This window comes from Homo sapiens, chromosome 15 (assembly GCF_000001405.40).
Source record: "Homo sapiens chromosome 15, GRCh38.p14 Primary Assembly".
Lineage (NCBI taxonomy): Eukaryota > Metazoa > Chordata > Mammalia > Primates > Hominidae > Homo > Homo sapiens.
Genome location: NC_000015.10, coordinates 43,946,256 through 43,970,732, shown reverse-complemented (window position 1 = coordinate 43,970,732; position 24,477 = coordinate 43,946,256). Strand labels below are relative to the sequence as shown.

Genomic DNA, 24,477 nt, shown 5'->3' with positions numbered 1-24,477 from the left:
GCCTGTAATCCCAGCACTTTGGGAGGCCAAGGCATATCACTCGAGGGCAGGACTTTGAGATCAGCCTGGCCAACATGGCGAAACCCTGCCTCTACTAAAAGTACAAAAGAATTAGCCAAGTGTGGTGTCTGTCACACACCTGTAATCCCAGCTCCTCAGGAGGCTGAGGCAGGAGGTGGAGGTTGCAGTGAGCCAAGATCATACCACTGCACTCCAGCCTGGGTGACAGAGCGAGACTGTCTCAACAACGACAACAGCAACAAAGAAATAATGGGGTAAAATGCTACATCCAAGAAGAGTATGTTACCCTAGATACCATATATGTTGAAGCGAGAGAGGGCATAAACTAAAAAACATTTGATGCAGTGCTTTCAACTTCTAAGCCTTTTCTGCCTCCAATCCAAAGAATGCTGGGAGAGGAACATTTCAAAGACAAAGAATAGAAGTGCAGAGCAGTTAACAAGAGTAAATTGTCAAGAAATGCTGGCAGTAGCTAGGCCATGAGTGTCAGGCCAGCAGCCTGGGTTGTCTTCTGATGTTTCTGAGAATAGAGATTTATCTTAAAAGAAACTTCCACCTGGTTCTAGTTTTAATTTTAGAACTCCATCTAGTTCATCAATCACATTACAATATAGTAGTTGAAGAAAATTAAGCACAAAATCCAGTTCCCACTTTTTCTTCTATCCTCCCTTTTGTGATTTGCATTTTGTCAAATGCAGTTTGTGTCTCAGCCAGAACACTCTCATGGCTGACTTTCTGTGTGGCCAGTTGGCAGGTTTCATAATGAGAGGCAGGGTGCTGAGAGAAGAGGATGCTTATACCAGAACACAGAAGAAATAAAATTCCGTAACTCCAATAAAAGTACATTTATAACCAGTATAGTTCTTACCTCCAGAAAATCTTAGGATAGAGGAATAGTATCATTCATCTCTTCTTAACAAGGAAACTATCCAGTTAACTAGTATAGGCCCTCAAAGGCGTATGTTCTGTCTGGCAAGTCTTATGGATTTGGTTATAGGAAATGTACAGTCCTCTCAGGGCTGTTATTTATTGGCTAAGATGTTTAAAAGGAGTCCTTTATAAGAACTTCCAGTCTTTTTGAGTGTATGTGACAATTTTTGGGAATCAAAAGATTGCAATATTTATATATAGAAATTCCACCAATTTATATGAAGAAGTTCCACCCATGGGAGAGGGACCATATCTCTCTTATTCATTATTATATGCTCAGAAGCACACATAGAACTGGGCATGGTAGGTGTTGAGTAAATATCTGTTAAATAAATGACCGAATGAATGAATGAATGTGCATGGCTGTAAAATTCTCAATGATTGAAGAATAAAGATGGCTGGACCATAGTGGCTCATGCCTGTAATCCCAGCAAAACTTTGGGAGGCTGAGGTGGGAGGATCGCTTGAGCCCAGGAGTGTGAGACAAGGCTGGGCCACATAGTAAGACCCCATCCCTACAAAAAATTTAAAAATTACATGGATGTGGTGGTGTACGCCTGTAGTCCCAGCTACTCAGGAGATTGAGGCAGGAGTTGAGCCCAGGAGTTGGAGGCTGCAGTGAGCCATGATTGTGCCACTGCATTCCAGCCTGGATGACAGAGCAAGATCCTGTCTCCAAAAAAAAAAAAAAAGAATGAAGGCAATTTAAACCTCATTTTGGGATGCCAGTAACAAACTATTTTCTTACCTCTAAATCAGTATTAAGGCCTCTAGATATAATCAGTCTACATTCACCCATAGTCCTGTCCAACTCTAGGAAACATAGTCTATGAATTAGGCAGAAATTCAGAATAAAATAACAACATAGGATTTTTGTGAAAATAAAGATTTTTTTCAGTGTCTTTCCGTTACTAACTTTAAAATTCTAGGTATTTTTTTCCCTAAGCAATGTGAGAATAAATGATTGTGAAATGATAGTGTCCTTAGCAAAAGCAGTCATTTTGCAATGAAGGAAAAGCTTGTTAAACATAGGAATGTGTTTTTCCCTCAAATTACAGAAAGAAAAACAATTTCCTTTAGACTAGCCAATAAAACACCCGGCATATATTCCATACACGTTCATACATAGTAGAATAAAGTAGATAGATACAAGGCATTCTATTTAAACCACCTTTAGGAAAGCTGCAAGCACCTTATGTACAATTAATGACTGTCATCTTTCCAGCTTGGAAAAAAGAAACACACAGAATAGGAGTCAGGAGAACAAAAGAAATATATTTCACTTTTCATTTCAGAGGTAGCTTGAAAAAAATGAAATTCCCAGGAAATTCTTCTGAGAAAAAGGGTCAATTATTTTGCTCTTCAACTTCTCACATCTTGGTACGAATAGGAATGCTCTGCAGGACAGCATACATCTACCTCAGCTTTTCAATTGAAGCTAAAGATAGGAAATACTCCATTGGCAAGGAATACAACCAATTTTGAATTCTTCTTAAAAATATCACCTAGGCCTTCTATTTAAAAGGATTATGACATGATGTGGGGGATTTGCGTCAAGTAATTGGGGGCGGTTGGGGTACAGATGAGATAAAGATAAGATTAGTTGTGAGTTTATCATTGTTGAAGCTGGATGATAAGTATGTGGGAGTTCATACACTTTTGTGTATGTTTAAAATATTCCATGAAAAAACTAAAAATGATGATTTCCTAAAATGGAAAAAAATCTTCCTTTTTTTTTTTTTCAGATCAGTGTGGTAAATAGGAAATGCATTGTTCTCACTCATAAGTGGGAGTTGAACAATGAAAACACATGGACACAGGGAGGGGAACATCACACACCAGGGCCTGTCGAGGGGTTGGGGGCAAGGGGAGGGAGAGCATTAGGACAAATACCTAATACATGTGGGGCTTAAAATCTAGATGATGGGTTGATAGGTGCAGCAAACCATCATGACACATGTATACCTATATAACCTGCACATTCTGCACATGTATTCCAGAACTTAAAGTAAAATTTAAAAAAAAATTTAAAGATATTACTCAGACCAAAAAAAAATAGGAAATGCATGAAATATAGAATCAGAAGCCCATTATATACAGGTCTCAATCTTAAAATGTACTAACAGTGCAGCCTCGTGTTAGTTACCACAGGTCTTTAAACCTCAGTTTCAACATTTGAAAAATGGAAATAATGCCAAACTTTACCTTATAGGATGTTATGCAGATAAATGAATTAATATTTCTGAAAGTGGTCTGGGTGCGGTGGCTCATGCCTATAAGCCTAGCACTTTGGGAGGTCGAGGTGGGCAGATCATGAGATCAGGAGTTTGAGACCAGCCTGGCCAGTATGGTGAAACCCTGTCTCTACTAAAAATACAAAAATTAGCCAGGCGTGGTGGCACATGCCTATAGTCCCAGCTACTCCGGAGGCTGAGGCAGAAGTATTGCTTGAACCCGGGAGGTGGAGGTTGTAGTGAGGTGAGATCGTGCCACTGTACTCCAGCCTGGGCGACAGAGCGAGGCTCCATCCCAAACATATATATATATATATGTTTATATATTTATGTGTATATATATATGATTATATATGTTTATATATTTCTGAAAGTGCTGTATAATCTGTAAAATGACACAAAACTGTAAATCCAAATAATTTTTAATTGAACTATGCATCTATCCAAAGTTATTTGTGCTTTATTTTCCAAATTTACATTTAATTAAACCAGCTCCAGCCAGAAGCAAGTCCATGTCTTTCTAAATCTATAGCATCAGAATGAAACTGAAATATCTTCCTTTTCTTTCTCTCTGCTTCTGTTTCTCTGTTTCTGGGATGCTCCTATAGGCAACTCCTAACTGTTCTTCCTGCCCCTCTGTAAACTTTCTGCAACCTACTGCTGGAAAAATCATCCTAGAACACCACTTGGATCATGTGACTCCCTTGCTCAGAAACATTTCTGAATCACCATTGCCCAAGGAATTAAATCTAATTTACTTAACCTACCCTTCAAAGTCTCCAGTGCTTGGTCTCTAACCTGCCTTTCCAGCTACCTCACAACCATTCATGTTCTAAACCTTTGGCTCTGAGCAAAAGGCTTTCTTTCTGGTGTTTTTGTTCCCCATTTCTCCTCTTGGAATCCAGTACTACTTTTCTCCCTGTCTAGATTCTATCAATCCCTAAAAATCAGCCTCATCCCTCCTTCTCTTCTATGGAGTCTTCCTAAACCCTTCCAGACCATGTAATCTCTCCCTTTTCTTAGTCTTAAATATGATTGGTTTGGCAATTAATCATGTATTCCTTTGTAATATTATGTTTATTCTTGTTTTAAGCAGTTAATTATCCCTATTGTTACTTTTTTCCTATCCTGCCCAGTTAGATGGTAAACTTTGTTTGTTTGTTTTGTTTTTTTAGAGACAGGGTCTCACTCTGTCTCCCAGGCTGGACTGCAACGGCATGAGATCTCCTCTCACTGCAACCTTCGCCTCCTGGGTTCAAGTGATTCTCCCACCTCAGCCTCCCAAGTAGCTGGGACTACAGGCATGCACCACCACGCCCCGGCTAACTTTTGTATTTTTATTAGAGATGCGGTTTCACCACGTTGGTCAGGCTGGTCTCGAACTCCTGACAAGTGATCTGCCCACCTCAGCCTCCCAAAGTGCTGGGGTGACAGGCGTAAGTCACCGCACCCAGCCCAGATGATAAACTCTTAAAAGGCAAGAATTGTGACTTTTATATCTTCCTGCCTCAAGGTCCAGTGCTTTGCATGCAGCAGGCACTTTCATTAACATTTGTGGAAAAATATTACCTAAACTGAGCTGGGATTATATAGTTCCTGATAGCCATACTTAGCATATTAATACTACCCTCATATGTGCTTCTTTGGATCTTAAAAAATGACTTTTTAGGCCGGGTGCGGTGGCTCACGCCTGTAATCCCAGCACTTTGGGAGGCCAAGGTGGGCGGATCACCTGAGGTCAGGAGTTCGAGACCAGCCTGACAACATGGAGAAACCTCGTCTCTACTAAAAGTACAAAATTAGCTGGGTGTGGTGGTGCATGCCTGTAATCCCAGCTACTTGGGAGGCTGAGGCAGGAGAATCGCTTGAACCTGGGAGGCAGAGGTTGTGGTGAGCGGAGATTGTGCCATTGCACACCAGCCTGGGCAACAAGAGTGAAACTCTGTCTCAAAAAAAAAAAAAAAAAAAAAAGACTTTTTAAAAGATTAATTTTGCATGGCATCTTTTAGAGGGTGGCATGGTGGGAAATTAGGTGCAGTCTTACTTGTTACACATACCTGGATTCAAATCCCAACCTAGACACATTAGCTATGTGAAATCCTGGTAATTTACTTGACCTCTTTATTTCTTAGCTTCTTCAATCATAAACTAGAAATACAGTAATAAGACTTGCTTTGCAAAGTTAGGCGCAGTGTATGTACAGTCCCTGACACGTCATCAGTAAAAGGCAGATATCATCCTAGTGCACATCAGATGGTTTTGACAGGTCATCAAAGTGAATGATCATAGTTGTTTTTAACTCTCAGGAGATAGAATGCAGTAAATATAGAGAAGAATCAGGAAAAGTCTCTGCCCGTTCCTTCAAGCCCTGCCTCTGTACTCTGTATTTGCTTTTGTGCATCTTTCATTAATAAGGGTTATAAGCTAAATATCGCTGGAATCCCTGTCAATTTAAAAAGTACTGAGTCCCCAGGCCATGCTCTATCCTTTTCCATACTAGGTGAGTTCCCTCAGTATACTTTTTTGGAGACTTCCCTTCAATCCAAACCATAGCTCAGTCATATCCTCTTTCTTTGCTTGCCCTTTATTTCACAGCAACCCTAATTATACTTAGTTCTCCTGCAGTCTTTTGCCTACAGTCATGGTAAGTTTGCCAACTCCGAGTCTTCTGAACTGTGGGCTATAAGTCATTGTGTTTTCATTTATTTAGTAATCCAAGGTTGCCTCTTCTAGACAAGACCCAAAGCAATGGTATGGAAGGACTTCAGTCATAAATCACAATGTTGTCAATACTTGAGAATATAAGACTAGGCAGAATGCAAGGTCACAAGAAAATTGTCATCATCTGGAATTGGCTTTTAGGTAATATCTTTTCTCCATTGAGGGCAGGATTCTGAATATGTGCATGCTTACACATAAGAAAAAGCATTAACATGTGAAAGAGGCCAAAATCTAATATGCCAAAATTAAAAAAAAGCCTTGTTACATCAGGATTCTGTCATTATGAGCACTCATTTTTCTTTTTCTTTTCTTTTGTTTTTTTTTTTGTTTGTTTGTTTGTTTGTTTGAAACAGGGTCTCACTCTGTTGCCCAGGCTGGAGTGCAGTGGCACAATCATGGCTCAAAGGGCTGGGATTACAGGCATGACCCACTGTGCCTGGCCTCACTTATTTCAATATTTAATGCTATGTTGTTTTCATGCTTGAAAAAAGAAAAAAAGTTCAGGAAAATAGCCACAAAAGGATTAGTTATCACAGAAATGAACACGGAAAAAGGCATCACTGAATTATTATATTTATAAGGACTTTTGATTGAGTCTGACCCACTAGTGTGCCATTTCTTAAATCCCTTGTGATTGGTCTTTTTAAAGTTGATCTATACCCAGTGAATCATCACCTTAATCTATGATTATAACAAAAGTTGCATTCACAAATGCTTTTATTTTATTTTATTTTATTTTATTTTCTAGTGATATTCTTTTTATTATTATTATTATACTTTAAGTTTTAGGGTACATGTGCACAATGTGCAGGTTTGTTATATATGTATACATGTGCCATGTTGGTGTGCTGCACCCATTAACTCGTCATTTAGCATTAGGTATATCACCTAATGCTATCCCTCCGCCCTCCCCTAACCCCACAACAGTCCCTGGTGTGTGATGTTCCCCTTCCTGTGTCCATGTGTTCTCATTGTTCAATTCCCACCTGTGAGTGAGAACGTCTGGTGTTTGGTTTTTTGTCCTTGCAATAGTTTGCTGAGAATGATGGTTTCCAGCTTCATCCATGTCCCTACAAAGTGCATGAACTCATCATTTTTATGGCTGCATAGTATTTCATGGTGTATATGTGCCAAATGTTCTTAATCCAGTCTATCATTGTTGGACATTTGGGTTGGTTCCAAGTCTTTGCTATTGTGAATAATGCCGCAATAAACATACGTGTGCATGTGTCTTTATAGCAGCATGATTTATAATCCTTTGGGAATATACCCAGTAATGGGATGGCTGGGTCAAATGGTATTTCTAGTTCTAGATCCCTGAGGAATTGCCACACTGTCTTCCACAATGGTTGAACTAGTTTACAGTCCCACCAACAGTGTAAAAGTGTTCCTATTTCTCCACATCCTCTCCAGCACCTGTTGTTTCCTGACTTTTTAATGATAGCCATTCTAACTGGCATGAGATGGTATCTCATTGTGGTTTTGATTTGCATTTCTCTGATGGCCAGTGATGATGAGCATTTTTTCATGTGTTTTTTAGCTGCATAAATGTCTTCTTTTGAGAAGTGTCTGTTCATATCCTTTGCCCACTTTTTGATGGGGTTGTTTGTTTTATTCTTGTAAATTTGTTTGAGTTCATTGTAGATTCTGGATATTAGCCCTTTGTCAGATGAGTAGGTTGCAAAACTTTTCTCCCATTCTGTAGGTTGCCTGTTCACTCTGATGGTGGTTTCTTTTGCTGTGCAGAAGCTCTTTAGTTTAATTAGATCCCATTTGTCAATTTTGGCTTTTGTTGCCATTGCTTTTGGTGTTTTAGACATGAAGTCCTTGCCCATGCCTATATCCTGAATGGTATTGCCTACGTTTTCTTCTAGGGTTTTTATGGTTTTAGGTCTAACATGTAAGTCTTTAATCCATCTTGAATTAATTTTTCTATAAGGTGTAAGGAAGCGATCCAGTTTCAGCTTTCTGCATATGGCTAGCCAGTTTTCCCACCACCATCTATTAAATAGGGAATCCTTTCCCCATTGCTTGTTTTTCTCAGGTTTGTCAAAGATCAGACAGTTGTAGATATGCGGCATTATTTCTGAGGGCTCTGTTCTGTTCCATTGGTCTATATCTCTGTTTTGATACCAGTACCATGCTGATTTTGTTACTGTAGCCTTGTAGTATAGTTTGAAGTCAGGTAGTGTGATGCCTCCAGCTTTGTTCTTTTGGCTTAGGATTGACTTGGCAATGCGGGCTCTGTTTTGGTTCCATATGAACTTTAAAGTAGTTTTTTCCAATTCTGTGAAGAAAGTCATTGGTAGCTTGATGGGGATGGCATTGAATCCATAAATTACCTTGGGCAGTATGGCCATTTTCACGATACTGATTCTTCCTACCCATGAGCATGGAATGTTCTTCCATTTGTTTGTGTCCTCTTTTATTTCATTGAACAGTGGTTTGTAGTTCTCCTTGAAGAGGTCCTTCACGTCCCTTGTAAGTTGGATTCCTAGGTATTTTATTCTCTTTGAAGCAATTGTGAATGGGAGTTCACTCATGATTTGGCTCTCTGTTTGTCTGTTATTGGTGTTTAAGAATGCTTGTGATTTTTGCACATTGATTTTGTATCCTGAGACTTTGCTGAAGTTGCTTATCAGCTTAAGGAGATTTTGGGCTGAGATGGTGGGGTTTTGTAGATATACAATCATGTCATCTGCAAACAGGGACAATTTGACTTCCTCTTTTCCTAATTGAATGCCCTTTATTTCCTTCTCCTGCCTGATTGCCCTGGCCAGAACTTCCAACACTATGTTGAATAGGAGTGGTAAGAGAGGGCATCCCTGTCTTATGCCAGTTTTCAAAGGGAATGCTTCCAGTTTTTGTCCATTCAGTATGATATTGGCTGTGGGTTTGTCATAGATAGCTCTTATTATTTTGAGATACATCCCATCAATACCTAATTTATTGAGAGTTTTTAGCATGAAGGGTTGTTGAATTTTGTCAAAGGCCTTTTCTGCATCTATTGAGATAATCATGTGGTTTTTGTCTTTGGTTCTGTTTATATGCTGGATTACGTTTATTGATTTTCATATGTTGAACCAGCCTTGCATCCCAGGGATGAAGCCCACTTGATCATGGTGGATAAGCTTTTTGATGTGATGCTGGATTCGGTTTGCCAGTATTTTACTGAGGATTTTTGCATCAATATTCATCAAGATTATTGGTCTAAAATTCTCTTTTTTTGTTGTGTCTCCGCCAGGCTTTGGTATCAGGATGATGCTGACCTCATAAAATGAGTTAGGGAGGATTCCCTCTTTTTCTATTGATTGGAATTGTTTCAGAAGGAATGGTACCAGTTCCTCCTTGTACCTCTGGTAGAATTCGGCTGCAAATCCATCTGGTCCTGGACTTTTTTTGGTTGGTAAGCTATTAATTATTGCCTCAATTTCAGCTCCTGTTATTGGTCTATTCAGAGATTCAACTTCTTCCTGGTTTAGTCTTGGGAGAGTGTATGTGTCGAGGAATTTCTCCATTTCTTCTAGATTTTCTAGTTTATTTGCGTAGAGGTGTTTATAGTATTCTGTGATGGTAGTTTGTATTTCTGTGAGATCGGTGGTGATATCCCCTTTGTCATTTTTTATTGCATCTATTTGATTCTTCTCTCTTTTCTTCTTTATTAGTCTTGCTAGCAGTCTATCAATTTTGTTGATCTTTTCAAAAAACCAGCTCCTGGATTCATTGATTTTTTGAAGGATTTTTTTGTGTCTCTATTTCCTTCAGTTCTGCTCTGATCTTAGTTATTTCTTGCCTTCTGCTAGCTTTTGAATATGTTTGCTCTTGCTTTTCTAGTTCTTTTAATTGTGATGTTAGGGTGTCAATTTTAGATCTTTCCTGCTTTCTCTTCACAAATGCTTTTAAAGCCACAGTTCTATGTAGTTTAGGTTTTTTTCAAATACAAGATTAGACTTCAATTTGTCTACTTTTGCTACTCAGCTTTAAGCCATAAAATGGGACTCAGATTTTAAATTACATTTGTTTTTCTACTGCTCATTATTGCTGAGCTATTTCTTATTTATCTTTTACTGATTGCGAAACAGACCTAAGGAGAACTGTTGGTTTTCATTATATGGATCTCATTTTTAAAAAATAATCATTTTAGACCAGGCACGGTGGCTCACGCCTGTAATCCCAGCACTTTGGGAGGCTGAGGCAGGCGGATCACCTGAGGTCGGGAGCTTGAGACGAACCTGACCAACATGGAGAAACCCTGTCTCTACTGAAAACACAAAATTAGGCCAGGCACTGTGGCTCACGCCTGTAATCCCAGCACTTTGGGAGGCCGAGGCGGGCAGATCATGAGGTCGGGAGATCGAGACCATCCTGACGGATACAGTGAAACCCCGTCTCTACTAAATATACAAAAAATTAGCCAGGTGTGGTGGCAGGCACCTGTAGTCCCAGCTACTCGGGAGGCTGAGGCAGGAGAACGGCATGAACCCGGGAGGCAGAGCTTGCAGTGAGCCAAGATCGCGCCACTGCACTGCAGCCTGGGTGACAGAGTGAGACTTAAATAAACAAAAAATAAATTAGCCGGGTGTGGTGGTGGGCGCCTGTAGTCCCAGCTACTTGGGAGGCTGAGGCAGGAGAATGGCATGAACCCTAGAGGCGGAGTTTGCAGTGAGCCGAGATTGTGCCACTGCACTCCAGCCTGGGCGACAGAGCGAGACTCCGTCTCAAAAAAACAAAACAAAACAAAATTAGCTGGGCATGGTGGCGCATGTCTGTAATCCCAGCTACTTGGGAGGCTGAGGCAGGAGAATTGCTTGAACCCAGGAGGTGGAGGTTGCGTTGAGCCGAGATCGCACCATTGCACTCCATCCTGGGCAACAAGAGCGAAACTCCGTCTCAAAAAATTATCATCATCATCATCATTTTACTGAGAAAATTTAGCGTGTGGATGCAAATAACTTGCCCTTTCAGTAGTATCAATGAGCAATAGGCCCGTTAAAAGGGAAAAGAAATATTGACCAAATTCACTCATTGAATTTGCTAGTCTTTTAACAAGCAAAAATGTCTAGGAAAAAAAAATCTCAGATGTCAGTAATCTTAACACAAAAAATATTGTCAGTGGAGTCCTCTTTGAATCCAAAAGGTAGGCATGTTTCTAAATCATATATTCACAGAGTGATGGAGTATTAGCCCTGGAAGGGACTTTGGTAATCATCTGGTCTAGGGATGTAAAGTAGTTGGTGTCCCAGCTAGAGTCAGAGTTCTTGTGTCTCATCTCCCAGTCAGTTCATTGTGCTCACCTGACTTCTATAGTTGCAGCTATTAAAATCTAAATCAGCTATTAAAATATTCATATCGACTATTAAAATCTAAATTATGATTATTTTCAGGCGCATAATGTCAGCTTTGCTAACACTACCTCAGATCCATTTGATTTCTTGGGAACTACCAGGACTGTATTTGGTTTATTTTTAAAGCCAAGCAGCTTTATAAACCTTAAAATATTTCGTCTTCGAAACCTAAAAGGCTCTTTATTTAGTCCATGATGAATATTTGAGTAGTGTTAAATTTATCATTCTGGCAGTACTCACATTGTACTTGTCATTAATTGTGACTCATCAAAGAATGTTTTGATGTTGAGTCCTTGGCTAACAGATGGCTCTGTTTAGAGGAATTGAGGCAGTGAGCTATGAGGTCCAAGGAGAGAGACTTCTTAAATAATTATTCACTAGAGGTTGTTTGAATTTGTAAGAAAGCACAGTAATCTGTGGGGGAGGGAAGTTTAGTCTTTGTGTTAAGGCTTGAGAAGGCTTTTTTTCAGCTCCCTTCAGAGGATGCATAAGAGAGTTGATGTCAGTGTTGTTTGTATGCCAGGTGTGGGCTGGAATGACACAAATGGCCAGCAGAGATGCACACAGTTGAATACTTGTTTGTTTCTGTTTCTAAGGAGTCTGTCACCACCTTTGTGACATAGCCATAGAGACCACCACACGGGAAAGAACAGGAGCTCAAGCAATAGGAGTACTAATAAGAACTTGAGTATAGAATGTAAAGCAATGAATCTTCCTTTTAAAAAGCATTTACCAGCTGGGCAGGGTGGCTCACGCCTGTAACCCCAGAACTTTGAGAGGCCAAGGTCTCCCAGCGGAGGTGAGCAGATTGCTTGAGTCCAGGAATTCGAGACCAACTTGGACAACATGGCAAAACCCTGTCTCGAAAAAAATTACAAAAAAATAGCCAGACATGGTGACACACACCTGTAGTCCCAGTTACTCAGGAGGCTGAGGTGGGCAGATCACCTGAGCCCCAGAGGTAGAGGCTGCAATGAGCCACGATCGTGATTGTGATGTTGCCACTGCGCTCCTGGGCGACAGAGTGAGACCTTGTTTCAAAAACAAAAAAACAAAAAAACAAAAATTTACTTCAGAGGCTACAGAACCATCTCCCCCTTCTTTCTCTTCTGTCTTTTGCCTTTTTCATTTTTTTTTCTTTCTAGATTGTTTTTTCTTATATTTTCAGTCCATCAATGGTACTCTAAGGCATGGTCCTCAAAGGCATGAGCAGCTCTCAGTACATTATTCAGCACCTGTGTGCTGACCACTGTGTTAGCCATGAAACTACATGGGCAGCTTATCTTATATTCTGGGTCCTAGTGTATGCACAAATGAGTCATTATTTGGAATGACATTTAGTGCTTCTTTAATTAAGAAAAGGGGAGTATACACTGTATCATAAATAAGACCAAGAAAAACCTGAAAGACAAAATTCAGATTCTCTTAGATATATTCAAAAAAATAATAGGTTACACACACTTGACCTTTCTGAGCCTCAGGTTGTTCATTTGCAAAATAGGTTAATGATATATACCTTGTGGAGTTATGTGAAAATGACATAAGCATAGTGTCTCGCCCACAGTAAAGACTCAGTAAGTGGTCTGTGTGTTAAGGAGGAAGAGTAAATTAAGTAAGTATGCAAGGATACTGACTTGCTTGCTAGCAACAAGGAAACACAGGAAAAATGATTAAGAATAAAAGCAGACTGGTAGTTGAATTAATAATCAATGAAAGAGGCTCTTTTAAAAGACTGTCAAGAGCACAACATTCAAAATAAAAGTGATAATGCTTTCACTGCACATTACTGGAGTGTTACTTTAGTTTGGGGCTGCATGGCTTAAAAGCACTGAGAAAAACTAAATCAGGTAATACAAATGTCTGAATACCTTCTGAGAGGCTAATACAGAACAGTGGAGAGAACCAAAGATTAGAAATTGAAAGCCTGGGCTTGAGCCCCTGGCTCAACATTTTCTAGCCACCTAACTAACTAGAAATTATCAGAGGCTGGGCTTAATGGCTCACACCCATAATCCCAGCACTTTGGGAGACCAAAAGCAGGTGGATCACTTGAGGTCAGGAGTTTGATACCAGCCTGGCCAACATGGTGAAATCCTGTCTCTACTAAAAATACAAAAAATTAGTCAGGCATGGTGGTGGGCACCTGTAATCCCAGTTACTTGGGAGGCTAAGGCAGGAGAATTGTTTGAACTTGGGAGGTAGAGGTTGCAGGGAGCCAAGATCTCACCACTGTACTCCAGCCTGGGTGACAGAGCCAGACTCCAACTCAAAAAGAAAAAAAAAGAAAGAAAGAAATTATCACAAATATTTTAATAGGTGACACATGACCTCACTCAGTTCTCACATCTGTAAACAAGGTTAAGAATAATTTTTAAATTTCTGAGGATTTTTGTGAATATGTACTTTGCAAATTATAAAACGTTATATAAATCAGTTTTTTAAAGGGATGATAGGGGAAGATACTCCCTTTAAAAAGGCTGACTTAACTACCTGTGGATATTATCTATAAAAGAATAAATAAAAGGTAGATGATGGTAAATCTTCATTTTCATAGATGATAGAATTGGAAGAAATGGGATTGCAGTACAGTCAACTTTGTAGAGACAAAAGAGAAAAGGCCCAATCATTAAGTTGTCTAACCAATGGCCAGCTATCAATGAACATCAGTAATCCCCTCCTTGCTTTACTTCTTCTGAAATTCATGAACTCATCATTTCCAGCCTTTCTGGATGGACACACGTACATATGAGCAGCTTTAACAAGTAAAATGATTTAAAATTCATTTTGTTTAATGCCTTGGAGTGTTGCAAAGTTGATTAAGAAACACTAATATAGGCAATTACATTTTAGAGATGCTTTAGTTAACCCGTGACCCAAGAGCAGGGTCATAGACTGAATGACTTTTTGAGATTTCTCCATTCAATCTATTTTTCTTAATTGAGCAGGTGTTTCTAATTAAGATGTTGAACACTAGAGCAAAAAAAAAGTCGTCTCACATCATGTGTATTTTAATCAATTTGATTTTATTTATTTATTTTTATATCTTCCCTCAAAGTAGTTGAATTTAAAAGAACTAAATGAGGAAGAAAATTCCAATTATTTCCCTTCTGAAGAGCTGTTTGTATGAGAGCTGATTTAGTACCTTCAATACTTGAGGAGACTTAGGGAAAAAAAGCTGTGTCTGGATTAAAACATTAAAAATAGAAACATAATTCCAAGATTAAGTTCCTTGACTTACTTGACATTTGAAGTAATTTCCGCAAAGTAATTTCTTTTGTAAAGGTTTATAAATTTATGAGAGAAAATACCTTATCCTGCCTAAAGATTATTGTGTCAATTAAGAATAAACAAGATTAGAGAAAACCAAGCATTAGGCTGGAAATGGATCTACTCTAAGTGTGATAGAATCATATTCAAATTATTAGTCGAAATAGTGAGTATGAGCCTTCCCTTTTTATCCAGGGCTTGAATAAGTACAGCTATGAGTGATTTTATAAGTGGTCCTTGTTTGCATGTACTAGTTACTTAGCCTTATGTTTTTGTCTTACCTGTGGTAAACTTCCACCAAAAAACCAGAACCCCAAATGGATCCTCAGTTATCATCTGAAACTCTGAAAACATTTTGGTTCTCTTGTATAGCCAAGGACCATGCCCTAAAAAAAAAAAAATCTCTGAAGTGGGTGCCTTTTACTTGATTATAACCAGAATAGAGACAGTTCATTGGAAAACATGGAACATATAGAAGAATAATTTGTTCTTTTATTGGAGGCTAATGTTCTTCACTCAGAGGTTGATTGCTTATGAAATGTATTAAGAAATTGTGTGCTTAACAAAAACAAACTTATTCAGGTTTGATGGTTTGCTGATCTACACACACACACACAAAATGGCCCTTTTCACAAAGCAGTTGGCTTTCATCAACTTCTCCATAATGCCATACATGCATACAAATCACACTTTCAGTTATTCACTGTAGAAATCTCATCAATAAGAAATCCCTTGTGATAACTGGGCCTTCATTGGCTTTCTTTTATTGGCCAAATGCTGAGTATTTTTGGCTTGAGATGATAACTTTATTTTAAGCCTGAGAGAGCAGGTGACTTGCCCTTGGTCTAATGATACTAAGCAGCTGCCACAGCCTGTTTCACATCCACTGGAGAAGACTGTTCCCTGGAGAGGGAGCACATAACTGTGCATGTCTCTTTCAAGATGTCTCTTTGGGTACCATGTTGGGAAGTGACTTTCCAAGGGTGAGGAGTGCCCTGTGTTTAGCTTTTTGGTTACATCCCTGTGCACAAAGGAGAGACCGTGTTAAAGAGTTGAGACTTTGAGAAAATTCTTGTTACTTCATATGCATTTACAGTGTACCTAAGGCTGAGGACAAATTTTATTTTAGCAAGATACATCAAAGGCAAATAAATTTACTCACATAAACAGTAAAATGACATTTTTTTCTCCTGTGTTCCACAATCAAAAGGAGCTTGATTTGCAATGGGAGCATGTAGGAACAGGAGGCATACTCCCTTTAGATAATAATTATTATAATAGCTTCCATTTTCTGATTATTTACTATGTAAAATGCTCAGCATATCATCTAGCACATACAAGAAATAGCTGTTAAACGAAGAGTGCTAGGTGCTGTACTAAGCACTGTAGCACTTTATATCACTTATCTCATGTAAGGTAGATTTCATCTGAGGCTTTGCAGGATGATAGGGACAGTCTTATTAAAGGGCATGGATTGCTCCCTCTGATCCCCTGTTAAACAAGGGTATTTCATCAGGCCAAGAGAAGGTGGATGTGGCAAGCGCCAAGCTCTGTAGAAAGAGATGCTATGGAAATGCTAAGTAAAATGTCATACTTGTTGTTCAGATATGGCAAACCAGGATGAGTCAACCCCTTTCCCCTCGCACACATTATCACCTACACATTTTGGGATGGTGTTGGGTGAGAGTCATCTTTATGCCTGCCCTTCACTATTACTCATCTTACTTTGGCCACCCAGCTCTCACTTTGTCCTGTCACTCATCCCCTACATTTGAAGTAGGGAAGCATATACAGGCACTGAATAATTTGGGGTCTGTAAATATAACCTTTGAGTCACTATCACATGGTGCCTTTGTGGGCCAGGACAGTACCCAGTGCAGTGATGAGCTTGCCCATCTGCTTTGGGTCTCAGCCCTCCAGCAGGCCTTCGTCTCCTGGGTAAGCAAACAGGCAGAAGCATCTCTGGCCCAGAAGAACGTCCTGAATCACAGTCTGTGCAGTTCTGTGCCAGCCCCCAGGGAAAGCGTGAGAGCAGAAGAGATGAGAAATGCACAAACTGAATAGCCCTTTCCTGATGATATTTAATTGAATCTGGGCATCGACAGGGCTTGGCCAGGTAGCTTGCTTTCCCTCACGTGCAGCTCAGCTCTGGCAGATTTCTCTTGTAATGATCATTCTACCCAGGTAGCACAGAACTTTTTCATAGAATGAGGACTTGGGTAAGGATCAAGAAACCTGGGAACCAGTTTAAACTGTGCCATAAACTTCAGGCAGTCATTTAACATCTGTGAGTTATTTTTTCTTCATTTATAAAGTAGGAAGAATACCCATCCTACTGGTCTCCATGAATTTTGTGTCTAAGGCTGTAAAGTCACATCATAGCTGAGAATACCTTTTGAAGGTTATTTTTATTACTAGAGTCTTAACTATTAACACAATTAAGTGCAAATAATACCACCCATGGAGGTAACAGATGACAAGTACCTTGTGGAAACCTGTTATCACTCTCTGTTGGCACAGGAGTGTAAATTATAGCTAAGGTGTGAGGTTTTTATTGTTGTGAGGGAAGTGGTTGTGAGGGATAGCTGTGGTAAAGATCAAAGAAGGATCTACCATAGTTCTCCTAGTTCTGCAACAAGGCTTAGTGAGCGATATGGTCTGACTGTAAAGAACAATGTCTACAATGTAGGCCATAACAGTAGTGATTCTTCATTTATGTTTTCCTGTTGCTATCTGACCAAGCCTTCTTCTCATTGCTGATTTTCTTTTGGTTGTGGAGTAGGAGTGATGCTTGCTTCCTAATTCTGCTCCCTCTCCCACCCATCTCCACCACCAAGGATTGAGCCATGCTTGAGGGATGGGGATGCTACCAGAGAAAATCCCAGAAAGCAGCCAGCAAGGACTTTGTGATGCAATGGTCCTGTCCTTCCTCCATGTTTTACCTTGCAGAATCTGTGCAGTTTTGCTCCCCTGGGAAAGCCCTGAGAACTCTTTAGCAGATACCAAGACTATGCTGCTAAGTCCTTCTGACTGAATTCCTTCACTGGACATTGGGGTAGAGGGGAAGTCCCTGTGCTGTGCTCTTGGATTTCATAGCCCCTGGGGCAGCTCAAGGCTCCTATCACATCTAAAGCGGAATTACCAGTAGAGAAAAAGTCATTCTTAGGACCACAGGACAAAGCCTTAGTGGAACTGCTCGAGGTCTAGCCCCTGGCTTCTGGGGTTCTTCAGCAGTGGATGGCAGAGGCTATCTTCCTAATTTAGATAATTTCTCAGGACCAGATTAGCCTCTTTCTCAGCTGCACTTTTTTTCTCAATTCTGCTTTCTGCTGACTTACAGTTTTCCTCAAGGAGCCAAACAAATAATTTTTCATCTGCATCTGCCTCTTCTCCCATTCACTTCCCTTCCTGGGTGGATTATTCCAGAGTTCCAGCAAAGCTGCCTTCAGCAGCCTCTGACAAAAGCTGCGTGCTGACCGCATGGCTGCATACTGGCCACACATGCCCCTTTGAACATCCCAATTGAAGAGGACACAGCTCAGAAGCTGCAGGCTCGCTTTCTTTTCATATGTTTTCTTGGGAAATCTCAAGAAAGTGCAGTGTTCATTCCTGGAAGCGAGTCTGCAGTGCTGAAGCCTTGGTCACCCAAGCGTTCCCTCTGCATGATGGCCGTGCTCCCAGACTATCCAAAATGCAGCAGCGCATGGAAAGAGACTGGCTGCTGAGGTGTTATTGGTTTGCAATACCCTGATAAGGAGATTTCATTCCCTTCTTGCTGGCAGAGTTATATAGAGTAATTACATAAGTACTGCTGTGACACTGGGCGGAATCTCATTAAAAACTGTATAAAGAACAATTGGGTTGTGCTAGAGAATATTCATTTTATTTCAGTTGAGTATAATCCCTGTAATAGAACATTAGCCTGAGCATAAATACTGGTGTTGCTCCAGCTCCCTGATAGAATGTATTTGGGATGTATATTTAGTGCAGCATTTGCTTATGTGGGGCATGACAGAAAATCATTATGAGGCAGGTCCAGATTTTCCCACCTGGTGAGGAAGTTGCTCGCTGTGCTGAGCAGATCGTTGTTTGTTTTTTACCCCTCCTAGGAGAGCTACTTGTTCAGCTTGGATGGGACAGTCTATGGCAGTTTGACCACATGGCAACTCTGAAACACACACACACACACACACACACACACACACACACACACAGACACACACACACACACACAACACACACACACACACACATGCACATACAGACTCGGGCCCAAAAAAATGTGTCCCCTTAGCAGGTTTAGCCTTCCACCCAAGATGTAAGAGAGGCCTGGTCAGGGGAGAATTTGTCTTGTGTTGTTGTTCGTTCATTTTCAGAAAAGTAGCAGGCAAGTCCTTGTTTAATGTAAGGTTGTTTTTGGTTGATGGCATGTGAATTGTCCCTTCAGCCTTGCTGAGCATCACTCATCACAACAAACAAGAGCTATCCTAAGTAGTTTGCTAATACAGCAGTTTAAGGCTCAAAAGCATTAAAGGACAATAACATCTAATACAGTTATACCACTGTACTGTGCATGACTTACTTTCACACATATTATCTGGTGTGTGGGGAATTCAGTAATCCATTCTTAATTATCCAGAGCATAATCTGTTTGGTATTTGAAGTCTAAGAGCACTATGAATTATTTTCTTTATAAAATATTTTTCATTATAGTTCTAGTGTTCTATAGCATTATAGGGCAACTACAATCAACAGCAATTTATTATATATTTTCTTTTCTTTTTTTTTTTTTTGAGATGGAGTCTCACCCTGTGGCCCAGGCTGGAGTGCAGTGGCGCGATCTTGGCTCACTGCAAGTGCCGCCTCCTGGGTTCACACCATTCTCCTGCCTCAGCCTCCCGAGTAGCTGGGACTACAGGTGCCCGCCACCATGCCCGGGTAATTTTTTTTGTATTTTCAGTACAGACAGGGTTTCACCGTATTAGCCAGGATGGTCTCGATCTCCTGACCTTCTGATCTGCCCACCTTGGCCTCCCAAAGTGCTGGGATTATAGGTGTGAGCCACCACGCCTGGCACTATTTATTGTATATTTTCTAATGGTAGAAGAACAGATTTTTATGTTCTCAAAACAGAGAAATGATAAATGTTTCAGGTGATGCATATGCTAATTACCTGATTTGATCATTTCCTCTGTAGATCTTCTGACTGGCCCACCTGAATTTTGTTATCTGGTCTCACACCGCATTTCGAGGGAAGAAACCAAGATTAATCATCCTCCATTGATATAAGGGGCATTATATTGAAGACTATATATCCCTGTTGTTAAAAGTCAGTGTCACTTTGCCTGTAATCAAAGTACCAAAATGATGGCAGGGGAAGCATTCAACTGTTAAACAGCCAGCCTCTCCGGTTATTAAAATAGCACTGAGCAAGGCAGCTGGAGTAAACCATTTTAGAATCTGGGGTTTGCTGTCGCTGGTAAGGATGTCCCAGCTGTGCCTTATTGTCAAAATTCTCTTCATCATCTCAGGATGCCAGGTCCCAAGCTGAGCTCACTCTGGGGACTCAGATCCATTGAATGGGAACGCTTGGCCTCTGCCCACATTATTTAGGAGCTGCAGGTGAAACTGAGGTTAAGAGAGGCTCAGTCGGTGTCTCTCTTAATGCATCCCTGCCCACAGGAATGGGTGTGAATGCAAATGTATTTCCAAGTATGCCTGAGGTAGCTGAAGAGAGACTATAGAATCATCATCCCCAAGGACTTGTCATCAGCTTTCAGTCTATCGTAGTTTAAGCATGGCTGTTTGTCTATGTGAATGCGTGTTTTAAAGCATGAAACCAATTTTCCTCCCCAGACAATGGCCTGCTCCCTTTTTATTGAGGAAAATAGGATTGAATTTAGGATCTCATTAAAGGAGGCATATGTCCCTCCTTGGTCACACCCTACTCCTTCGTTCACCTATCCACCTTCCCGGTTGTACAGAAGCACATCTAATACACATGGCCTCTAGGGCAGAGATCTGAATGGGTTTCTTCAGAGGCTGCACCATTCCACCAGTACCTCAGCTAGGAGGGCTGAGACCACTGAGCAGTGGGCCTGAATTTGTAACCAGAGCCTGCCCAGATGCAGTGTAGGACAACCTCTAGCCTTCCTGCATACCAAGAAGGAAGAAGGAAGCAGTTCAAGAAACTGAGGCATAATTGTGATGACCAATGCAAGTTCCAGAGCTCCTGGCTGCCTGACACGTGTGCCCTTCCCAAGCCTTGGAATCTCCATGCAGCATGCAAATGTCTTCTTCTTTCATCCTTTTTTTTTTAAGTTAGCAGAACTCCCTGAAGTGCACTTACTCTCCAAATATGTATGCAGCACGACTTGAGAGATCACTTCTGTCTGTAATGGATGCCTTGTGTCCAGGGTATTTTCCTGGATATTGTGTTATTCAATTTAGGACTCCTAATGCATGATTAATGTGTGTTTAAACAATCATTGCCTAATTGGACTGCTTCACCTGTAAGACACTGGGGAGTACACAAAGCCAACTTACAAAAAACACCATTGGCTATGTGGAATGATGCAACAACTCTAGTGTCGTACAAGGAATGAACATTTTGAGGCTGATATGGTGCCCATCTCATCCTGTAGTTGCTACCAAGCAGGACTTTCAGAGACTGGCTTCTAGGACCATTTGTTTAATTCAGTGTTTTTTTGAGCATCTATCAGCAAGACTCCATGAGTTCCAGAAAGGGGAATTGGATGTAGGTTCTACCTGAAGGGAGCTCACAGTTTAGTAGGAAGTAGAATATGTTTGTGAATAATTATATCACTGGGTGGAAAGTTATGAGGGCCCTAAGACAGATTTTTAAAAGGGATGGAAAGCCCATCCCATTGTGAAGGGGAACCCATGTGGACAGTGAGCATAGATGGTAGTGGATGGGACTGAGGGGAAGGGAAGGAGTAAGAAGCTCACAGTTACTGCTAGGGATGTCAGGGAACCTTGCAGGGGCTTTGCAGGGCCTTTCCCAGTCATCCACACAGGCCACCAAAGTGGTAAGTTTGGGTGCCTGAGGTGTCCCCATTGGTGACCCTTGCTGAGCTCTTTCCCTGCAGGCTTTGCCTACTAACCATGGAGCCCTGAAGCCTGCTTAGTGCTTCTTTTGGCCTGTATGTCTGTGAAGCAGAAGTGTCCCATGAAGAGGTCCCCAAATTCTAGATTCTTACTCACAAAAATATGATTTGAACTTAATGAGCTGTGGACAGATGGCAAATAGGAAAGAGAAACTAAGGTGGTTGACTCTGAACATTTTGGTCATTTTCATTTTCATCTCATTTGCAACCCATCAAGGTTCTTAGAAGATTTGCATGTGACTCATCACAGAATCTGAACCCTCAAAGTGGGTCATGCCTGAAAAATGGATGAGGAGTTTTCTTCTGACAGATGTTAGTTAGGGGACAGTACAGGCCTGTCCTTTTCGGAGAATTCTTAGAACTGGTTGCATATAAATAGAACCTGAAAAATGGGAACTTGGCTTTAAGGTATCTTATATAGAGTGAGGGAGTATTGGTATGTGTGTGTATTTATACATACTTTGGAAAAAAATATGCCCTCCTTATGGAAACTGTTTTATAAGTTAGGCTTGTAATTGCTACATGATTCAACCACCAAATTACCGAAATGTTCCCCACAAGGAGGATTTGACATTTAATAGAAATTTTAATATAATGGAATGAACATGTCAAAAATCCAAACAGATTTTTAATTCTTTAACTTATTCAAATTTGAATTTAGAAGAAAGGATGGTTTCAGGTAGGTTTTTTTCTTCCCCCATGCTTACAAGTAATGGTGGGTGGCAGAAATGTACACTGAAGAGGACTCCAGACTTCTACCACTATATCCTAACAGTTTCCCAGGCAGCAGCCATATATTAGAGTACAATACACTTTCAATCCCTTTTATCCTGTCAACTTGGTTATTTTTTGTTATTTTGGAAAATGCCATATGGCACAATGATTATATATTCAGGTTCTATAATTAAACTGCTTGGGTTCAATTCCCAGCTCAGTCACTTACTAAGCAAGTTTGCCTGCTTTCTCTGTACTTTGATTTTCCCTTTTTTAAGTGGGCGGGATTGTGGTACCTACCTCATAAGGTTGTTGTGATGATTAAAGAATACATGCACAGTGCTTAACACAGTACCTGACACAGAGTTAGCACTCAGCCAACATCAGCTTTCTTTATCCTTCTCTCCCTACCCCTCTTATTCAGGATCTACACCTGTGGGAGAATAAGCCCAAGGATAGTTATTAAAAATTGCCAGCTTGGCTACTCGTTAGCTTTTACTAACATCTGGGATAAAAGGTTTAAGTACTGGAGGGGTTTGAAATGTAGTAGGGTTTGAGTTATCAGTTAATCTTCCTGTATCCCAGCTGCCTCTGCTTCAGCAATAAGGGAGATTGAATTTATGAAAACTAAAGCTTTCCCAGGCCTCTACACACTCTGTCTGATATAAAGTGCACCTGTGCTGTCTCCCTGGGTGTGGCATTCCTCCCTGCCTTTCTGATTGTCCTCACCTCGGTCCATGATGCAACCATTCATCCCCTTGCCCTCTCCGTCTTTCTTTCTTTCTTCATTCTTCTTTTTGTTTCTCATGTCTTTCCATTCCTTGCAACCTCCTTAAAACCAGGGATTATAAAAACCATCATTTTGAAATTAAATTTAAAATTTCAAATGGATTTTCTTTTGTAAATTGCTTTTTATAAAGCCATACCCAAACACTATAGGAAGATAGTTTTAACTGTCAACTTTTGCCAAACTCAAAGTTATCAGCATGAAATTGAGAGGTGATAGCTTTTAAATATATGGAGTTTGGAAAACAGAATAAATGGAAATTGTATAGCCATGCACAGCTTTTTGTAATCTACCAAGAAGTCTATTTCCTAGCTAATATTCTTCACATATACTCTCACACTCAAGGTAAATATCTAGCAGCCACCGCTGTGTAATGCTGGCTAAAAGTGAAGCATCCAAAACATTTATGCCAGGAAATTTAGATTTTAAAGGATATTATACAATGAAACAGAAGTTGCTTAAGCACTAGTATTCATTAAATTCTATTCAAGTGATAACTTTAAAAGTAGACATTTCTGTAGGTTCCTTTTTCTTTTGAACCAGTTCACCTCAAATTGACAAGGTGTACGGGAATTTAAAAGCTTGTACTTTTCCAGCTTATGAGTAAACTGAGAGAAGTAGTTTAATGCTAGAAATGGTGTTACCTGGTGTTCTAAAGACTGAAGTTGCCTACCAGACTTCCAAAGTATCTACTTTAACTAACACTAGTAAATAAATTAACCAGGTCATCATTCAGAATGTGTCTGTCTTTTAGAATGAGCTTGAAGTGTTTGAGGAGCACAGAGGAGGCCATGTGACCACCATGTAGGGAGCAGGGGGACAGAAGAGAGCAAAGTGAAAGTGGAGACCCCCTTCCATCCTGGGAACCCACTGCCCCATCTAGCAGAACTCTTTCATTAAACTTCTTCCCTCAACGACCCAGATCCCAAACCTTCTCTCCTGAACACAAGACAACCCAATCCTCTACTTCCTTTCCCTCCCCTAAGACTCCCAGACATATCCTTCATGTTTTCTAATGCATTTTACATTATTATGTTAGAGATACCCCAGAGGCTGTGTGTTGTAGTGGAAAGAGAATGAACAGTAGCTCTAAGGCTGAATTTTCTCATCTGAAAAATAAAATTAGAAATAATGTGTGTAAATAAAGTACATGGCACATAGTTAGTGCTCAGACTCTGCCAGCCTGAACGATATCCCTTTCCAGCCTATGTTATTTCCTCGTGTACATGCGTATATAAACAGGAGAAAACTATTAACTTATAAGTATTTACAGTCATGCTATACACGCACACACATACACACTGAGGAAGAAGAATCCTGTAGTTGCATGG

At 40.3% G+C, this 24,477-nt stretch overlaps 1 protein-coding gene across 11 annotated transcripts in view, besides 2 other annotated features; it reads left to right on the top strand.

Annotated features, from left to right (window-relative positions):
- Nucleotides 1-24,477, top strand: part of FRMD5 (FERM domain containing 5) — a 328,710-nt gene that overhangs the window by 228,741 nt on the left and 75,492 nt on the right. The gene's annotated exons all lie outside the window — the stretch shown is intronic.
- Nucleotides 21,532-21,641: an enhancer, noted in NCBI's record as "active region_9333". NCBI's record gives its function as "activates an Ori minimal core promoter by ATAC-STARR-seq in GM12878 lymphoblastoid cells {active_cell/tissue: GM12878}" and the evidence as "EXISTENCE:reporter gene assay evidence [ECO:0000049][PMID:35858748]".
- Nucleotides 21,752-22,021: an enhancer, noted in NCBI's record as "active region_9332". NCBI's record gives its function as "activates an Ori minimal core promoter by ATAC-STARR-seq in GM12878 lymphoblastoid cells {active_cell/tissue: GM12878}" and the evidence as "EXISTENCE:reporter gene assay evidence [ECO:0000049][PMID:35858748]".